Source organism: Homo sapiens, chromosome 5 (genome assembly GCF_000001405.40).
Source record: "Homo sapiens chromosome 5, GRCh38.p14 Primary Assembly".
In the NCBI taxonomy this organism is placed as follows: Eukaryota; Metazoa; Chordata; class Mammalia; order Primates; family Hominidae; genus Homo; species Homo sapiens.
The window spans coordinates 115,487,724-115,495,193 of NC_000005.10; the positions used below are offsets into that span (position 1 = coordinate 115,487,724).

Sequence of the window (7,470 nt, forward strand, 5' to 3'; positions counted from 1 at the left end):
GGTTCAAAGATTTCATCAAGGACTTAAGTTCTTTCCTGTCTTCACTCAGAGTTTCTCAGCAAGTTGGCTGTTTCTAACTTGGGTTGTCCCCTCATGGTTGCAAGATGACTGCCACTACTCCAGATATGATATCTTCTAACACCCTCCCACAGTGGAAGAAGGAAGAGAGCACTCTTTTCTTTTTAAGACAAAAGAAAATTTTTCTGGAAACCACCATGCACCAGCAGACTTTCCCTCATATCTCATTAACCAGAATTCCTATACATGCTGATGCCTGAACCTATCACTGGCCTCTGAAGAGATGAACAAAATCATGCCTCTGTGAGCAAGCAAGAAGGTGGTTGTGGTGGTTGAGAAGGCAACTGACATCAACCACCTCCATAATGGTGATGAAAACTATGGGCTCTTAGAGGACAGAGTTCTGGGAGGGAAGAGAGCCACATCTGGGACAGAGGTGAAGAGGACACTACAGTCATTTAATGGAGCTCCTAAGAGAAGAGTCTTTTGAGTCACAAAATTTGGAGTCACAAACTGAACTCTTGGCTCTGCCATTTCCTAACTGTGCAAACAAGTTATTTACCCTCTATGCCTTTGTTTCCACAGCTATCGAAGGCCAACATCTAATGGAAGCTTGAAAATAAAATTAAGCCACACAGAGTATGTGATTAATAAGTGAAACTATCATTAGTACTTCTGGCTGAGCAACAGGCACAGGCATCAGATTGGTTGTTATACCAACAGTCATTGAAATTATTGAATACAAACATTAAGTCTAGATGCAGTGCTTCAATAGACTCTTTCTTCTCCAGGATGAGAAAGCTTGCTCAGAATGAAGAGACAAGAAGTGGTTGTGGAGACAAACAGGATTCAAAATCAGATCCCACTGCTACCATTTAGGGAAAGTTATTGGGAAAGTTACTGAATCTTGGGAAAGTTATTGAACTGCCTTGTGCTCAGTTTTCTCATCTGCAACAGAGAGTAACAGCTCATTAAGTTATGAAGATTAAACAAGTTAATACAAATGCACGTGTAAACTGTGAATAAGGGCAGCCATTGTTAGCATGTTTACTGTTTTCATATAAAGATGCAGTTACTCTATTCTGTCTTTTATTTACTTTGCTAATTGTCACTACAAGAGGAGCAGTGAAAAATCTGGCTTCAATTCTTGTTCTTTCTCTTAGGAGCCACATGGCCTCCGAGTATCAGGTACTCCTTCAGTAAAAAGATTGGCCCACTTTTCTCTCCAGAGATGAGAGGTTCCAAATAAAATGTTTTGAAGACTGAAACTCAACATATGATGTCTCATTATTTATACGTATTATCTCCTGCGATTCCAATTTTTGTCTCATTCTTTCTTATCACCTACGCTTTTCTTTGGCTTCCTGCCTGGAACTTTTTCCTATACTATTTCACTACTTACCATAATCTCCAATATCTCTACTTTCTCTTCTATCCAAATCTTTATGCATCATTACTTACAATCTCTTAAATGTGCCTTAAACTTTTCTTATAGGATAGTGGTGTGTATATACATACATTTAAATTTATTTTAAATTTAATCTCTCCTTCTCAGCCCCACAGAGACTGGTATTAAATTAGCATATGTAAAACGCCAAAGAAGCATATAGTAGTGATTACTATAAACGCTAAATAAAATATGATTTCAACACCTGTTTGCTGAGGTCCTACTGTGTGTATAACACTGTGCTACAGAGATGACTGTAACAAGAGTTCCTGGCCTCAAAGAGGTGACATATTCCAGTTTGGGAGTTAAGACTTGTAAATAAGTAAGCACTATACATAAAACACTTCTAAAATAGTAAAGGCCTTTTAGAAAGATTGATGGGTTTATGTGACCCAGGTGGCAACACAGCACCCTCTCTGCCCACCAAGATGGTGTTCAACCCCAGCAGCAACTAAGACATGTCGAAAAAGATGTTCTGATGCCTAACATAATGAGAAAAATGGCCAGAGAGAGGTATTCTGAAAAAGTTCAAGATTTTACCAAGTGTTGCAAGAACTCTGGAATCCTTATGGTGGTAAAATACTGGAAATAAAATTCTGCATTGAAAGACTGTCTTAACTGCTTACTATAATGATCCAGTCTTTTACAAAGAATACAAAATGGAATACCTGAAGGAATGTAAGAACTCAGAAAAACTGGAATTTCTACTAAGTTAAAGCTACAGAAGCTTCCCATAAGCATGTAGGCAAATATTTGAATGTCACTCAGAACTCTAATACTCATGGAAGTCATTTCTAGTATAAATCACCTGAAATAATAAACTCAAGATAAGAATGTGTGTTTGCTTTATCCTAATTATAGAAATATTAATTTTATCTGAAATCAAGATCTTTTATTAAAAAGAAATTGATGGATTTCAGAGACTTTGAAGTGGATGTATCTGGAAAAAAAAAACCACTAAAAGCATTAACTAAAAAAAGGTGAATTTTCTTTAACAACATTTAATATCTTAAATGTTTCAGATTATGTCATTTTTCCAGAACAAATGAAACCTGGATGACAACTTGCTATAACTGTATTTAGATATTTATCAATTCCATCTGTTCATTCTTTCTTGATCCTTCCTGAGGAGGAAGCAGACTCTGGTTGTGTGTCACAGGGTGGGATTGTGGCCCCTAACCTGGGTGTTTAACTCCCAGAAAACAGAATGCTCACCAGGGTGCTTTATTAACAGTCTTTATTGGATGGAAGGTAGAATGAATTCCCTTTAACATTTCTGTTTCAGTCTGTGTTCTTGATGATAAACAACAGAAACCAACTCTGACTATATTAAGGAACAACATTTATTAGAAGGTTCTTAGGGGCTCACAGTCTACAGCAGGCTAAAGGTCAGGCTTGGAACACAGGCGGGAATCAAGGCTTCTCCACACAGACTAAGGCATCAAGACCACAGCCAGTCTCCCTCCTAACATTCATGAGGCCCAGAACAAGAGCACAAATAGAGCCCATGGTTGAGCTCACAACCTACTCACTTTTTCATCCTAGCCCCGCCCCATTTCACACCACAAGGGCCCTTAAGCACACTGGTGAGAACACTCAGCCCTCTTGTCTAAGCTCTTTCTACACATTGCTCACATTCCCAAACAGATGCTCCTGCCACTCTGAGGACCTGTGATTGCAAACAGTGGTGGCCTGATCTGCTCTCACAGGCTTTGGCCCCTTTGGGCAGGGAATCCCAGGATTCTGGGTACCCAGAGTATAGTCTAGGAGGATAGTCTAGAGAATATGGACTCTAGGTGAGCAGAGGTGAAGCCAGAAGAGATCACAGTGGGGCCCTCTATAGCCCAGGGGGGCCCTCCTGTCCAGGTCTAAAGAAGATCCTGCCTACAGCAAAGGTCTGTCACACAGCAAGACTCATTGGGGCTGCCTGGAACCACACTACTGGCATGAATGTCTACTGTTAGCAATGCAACAATGGGACACCACTCTCTCAAGAGGCCACATACAGGTGGCATCATCCAATGGCCAAGCGCAAGTCACCTGTCTCCCCCAGGCTATTCTAGGCAGGAAGAGGCCTCAGCTAGGCCCTTGGGCTTCCTCCCAGGACCATCACACAGAGTACAAAAGAAAATTAGGGTGCTATAAACCAGGATGATTCATTGGATAACCCTTAAGCATCAAACATTTATAGCTGTCCCTTACGACTCCACTACTTTTTTTTTTTTTCTTAAATAGAGTTCAGGCTGGTCTCAAACTCCTGGGCTCAAATGATCCTCCCAGCTCAGCCTCCCAAAGTGCTGGGATTACAGGCTTGAGCCACCTCACCAGGACTTCTATTACTCTTAATAGCTGTTTATTCTGTGCTGGATCTGGAAACATGACCACTGTCAAATACACCTAAGAAACAAATCTCTAGTTAATGTCAATTTGTGTGTGTGTGTGTTGGGTGGCGGGGTGGGATATACCCATCCATAAGATCACAGGACAAAAAAACCCATTTATTTTATTTAATTATTGTTGGCATTGATCTACCTTCCTACTCTTACTCATGTTCCTCACCCCACCTCAAAGATCTCTACTTGCTTGGAAGTTGTAAGTAAGCAAGACGACAGTCATGCACGGTGTAACAACATTTCAGTCAATGACAGACCATATATATTATAGCGGTCCTATAAGGTTATAATACTGTATTTGACTGTACCTTTTCTATGTTTAGATACATTTAGATACACAAACACTTACAATTGTGTTATGATTGCCTATAGTATTTAGTATAGTAATCTGCCTTATAGCATATAGCCTAGGTGTGTAGTACTTACACCATCTAGGATTGTGTAAGTACACGCTATGGTGTTTGCACAACAATGAAATTGTCTAACTACACATTTCTCAGAATGTATTCCTGCTGTTAAGCAATACATGACTGTACTAAGAAAGGTATCACAGACTATTAGATCAAAAATTCCTCTGATGGCATGAGACTCCAAGAGTCCTTTGAATATGGCAAAGAGGAAAACCCCAGTTCTAGGATCAAATTGTGCTGGAGTGGGACCAGAAACAGACCCTTCCACAATGACCCTCTCCTGAAAATAACCATCCTGGACACATGTTCAAGAGTTAAGTCACAGAGGGAAGCAGCAGACAATAATTTGGAGCAGCACAGAATCCTCACTGTATTAGTTTGCTCAGGTTATCATAACAAAATACCACAGAATGGGTGGTTTAAATGACAGACATTTATTTTCTCCCAGTTCTGGAGGCTGAAAGTCTAAGATCAAGGTGCCAGCTGATTCTGTTAATGAGGGCTATCATCTCAGAAAGGGAGAGAGAGAGAATTCTCTGATTTATCTTCTTATAAGGAAATGAATTCTATGGGATCAGGACACAACCCTCAGGATCTCATTTAACATTAATTACTTCCTTAGAGATCCCGTCTCCAAAAATAACCACACTGGGGGTTAAGACACCATATAGACATCATAGTAGGAATTTGTGGAGGGGACACAAACATTAAATCCATAACACTCACTAAACAGCCAGGGATCTTAAATTTTATGTTTATTCTCCTATTTATTAAAAGTGAGAGGTCCAGGCATTAATTGCACGCACATAAAAAATCATTGAGTGAAAGCTTTACACACAGATGCACATACAAGAGGAGGGGATAAAAACCCATCCTTTAGAAACATGGAAAGCTATGTGTGCTGACTTACAATACTGTAATGACCAAAACTTATTATTAAATGAGAAAAGCAAGTTGCTGAACATTGTGATGGATATGGTACTGACTGTGTAAAAGTAAGGAGGAATTATGTATACATCCATACTTGCATATGTCTGAACTATCTCGGAAGGGATATATGAGCGAACTGATAGACGTGGTGGCAGGGACCGATGGTTGGGGACTGGGAATGATGACTTTTCATCAATTTCCCCCGTGCAGTTTTTCCTGAAGGAAGTGTTGTGGAAGCAAACAAAAGTTGAGGTGCACTAGTTTATGATGTTGTCCCGCAGATCCACAAAAGAATGGAACATGTACAGGTATTATCTATTCAAAATTTTTACAGGGAAAAATAGAGAAATACATTGTGCAATTAAGCCAATAGGGAAGTAAGCTACAATGCAGTTAACAGCTATACCTAAACCCTCTCAGAGGACACAAGACTTTTACCCCACTCTCATAGAAGCAAAGTCTTAGGCAGATGATATAGTTTTAAAGAAATCACTGGGAAATCTATACTTAATTGAAGCCTGGAATTTGCTTCTGGAATTTGTTTCCTTTGTTTCTCTTGCTTCCTGTTTATTTCTTAAGTAATGGAAGCACAAGAATCAGCAACATTATTTTCTAACCTTTGGAGAAATAACTAAACATGGACAAAGGAGATCCTAAGAAGCCCAGAGTCAAAATGTTATCATAAACTTTTTGGTGCAAAGTTGTTGGGAGAAGCACAAGAAGAAGCACCAAATGTTTTAGTCAGCATTTTGGAAATTTCTGAAACATGCTTTTAAGTGTAGAAGAACAGATCTAAACAGAAAAGAAATTTGAAAGCATAGCAAAGGTGAACAAGGACCATTATGAAAGAGGAATGAAAATTCATATTTTTCCCAAAGGAGAAAGAAACAAAAAATCCAAATAATTGTGCCGCTGACCAAATACTAGTTTGTAACTGAAAAACAAAGTTGTAGGAATTTCAGTGACATTCTTAATGTATCTAAATAAATACATTTTTAACTAGTAAAAAGGTAAAAAGATGATACCTGCTGTTTGAAAAAACAGTGGAATCCTCCAACATTGTTTGAATAATTGTTTTAAAAGATTTGCTTTTATCTGTTGAAAATGTGAGTTGAGGAACTAAAGCACATTTGGTGCTTAGCCCTAGAATACGTTCAGGGAGGAAAGCAAGCTTTCAGAATGCCAAAGTGGTAACAGACAGGAATGGCCTGACTTCCATCATCACACTTGATCTTGAGATTCCTCCAGGATCCCTGGCTTGTTAACTGATTTCTAGCAATTGCCATGTTAAGCAAGAACTAGGGGATTTTTGAGTTCAGTATTAGCATACAGGTACCTTTTCTCTCAAAAGAAATCTATTCTGGTGCATCAGCCCTTACCATTACACAGAAAAAGAAGGTGAGTACAGAGAAAAATGGGAAACAAGCATAAAGCAGAACTAGAGATGCTTCCTGAAGAGTACGCCTCCCAGAAGGAAAGGGGAGGAGGGGACAGCGACCTCTTTGTGACACGTGTGTGCAGGCACCTTATAAGCATCGTCTGATTTAATCCTTTCAACAACTCAATGAGGCAGGTACTGTTATTGTCCCTATTTTTCCAATGAGGAATCGGGAAACCCTTGCCCAAAGCTGCTCAGCTTTGAAGGTGTGTAAATTGCTGTGTTGAGCAGAGGTGAGAAAGGAGTGCTGATGGGGGTTGGGGGAGCTCAAAATCTCCTGCTTGCTCATAAGCTCACTTCTATTGCGGTCAACCTAATTTCACACATGGCCTGTATTCCCTTGTGCTAAAATTAATTTGTAAGATTGTCCCACATTTTTCTTCAGAGAGTGACTCAATTTGAAGGCACTTCGTCACCAGGGCACAAACATCTTTTCTAAGTGGGTACTGTTTCTGCTAATTAAGGAAGAGTGAACACTGGAACAAGCCAGGAGGGCAGTCTCTGACTCACCCTCTTTGGCTTCATCTGTGAAAATGGACTCGGGGGATTCAAAAGAAGAGAAATGATAAAAAGCAGGGCCAGGCACGACCCTTCAGCTTGTTGGAAAACATTTGAACGTGGCTTCTGTCTGACCCAGAAATAACATTTCTACAACTGAAATCTGTTTAGACAGTCATCAGAAATATCTCTGCCTCTTCTGTCTCCCAAAGTGCCTCTAGAGCCACAGCAAATCTCAACTCAGATTCTAGAACACCTCCTCCCATTGGCAAAGGAGGACCAAAGCTGTCTAATTTTAGGGTCTAACAGTTGGCATGCAATTAAAACTATATTTAT

The 7,470-nt window shown here is 39.8% G+C and overlaps 1 pseudogene, besides 2 other annotated features; it reads left to right on the top strand.

Annotated features, from left to right (window-relative positions):
• Positions 1–140: an enhancer, noted in NCBI's record as "active region_22931". NCBI's record gives its function as "activates an Ori minimal core promoter by ATAC-STARR-seq in GM12878 lymphoblastoid cells {active_cell/tissue: GM12878}" and the evidence as "EXISTENCE:reporter gene assay evidence [ECO:0000049][PMID:35858748]".
• Positions 1,923–2,210, top strand: LOC112267949 (COX assembly mitochondrial protein homolog; annotated as a pseudogene).
• Positions 6,842–7,131: an enhancer, noted in NCBI's record as "active region_22932". NCBI's record gives its function as "activates an Ori minimal core promoter by ATAC-STARR-seq in GM12878 lymphoblastoid cells {active_cell/tissue: GM12878}" and the evidence as "EXISTENCE:reporter gene assay evidence [ECO:0000049][PMID:35858748]".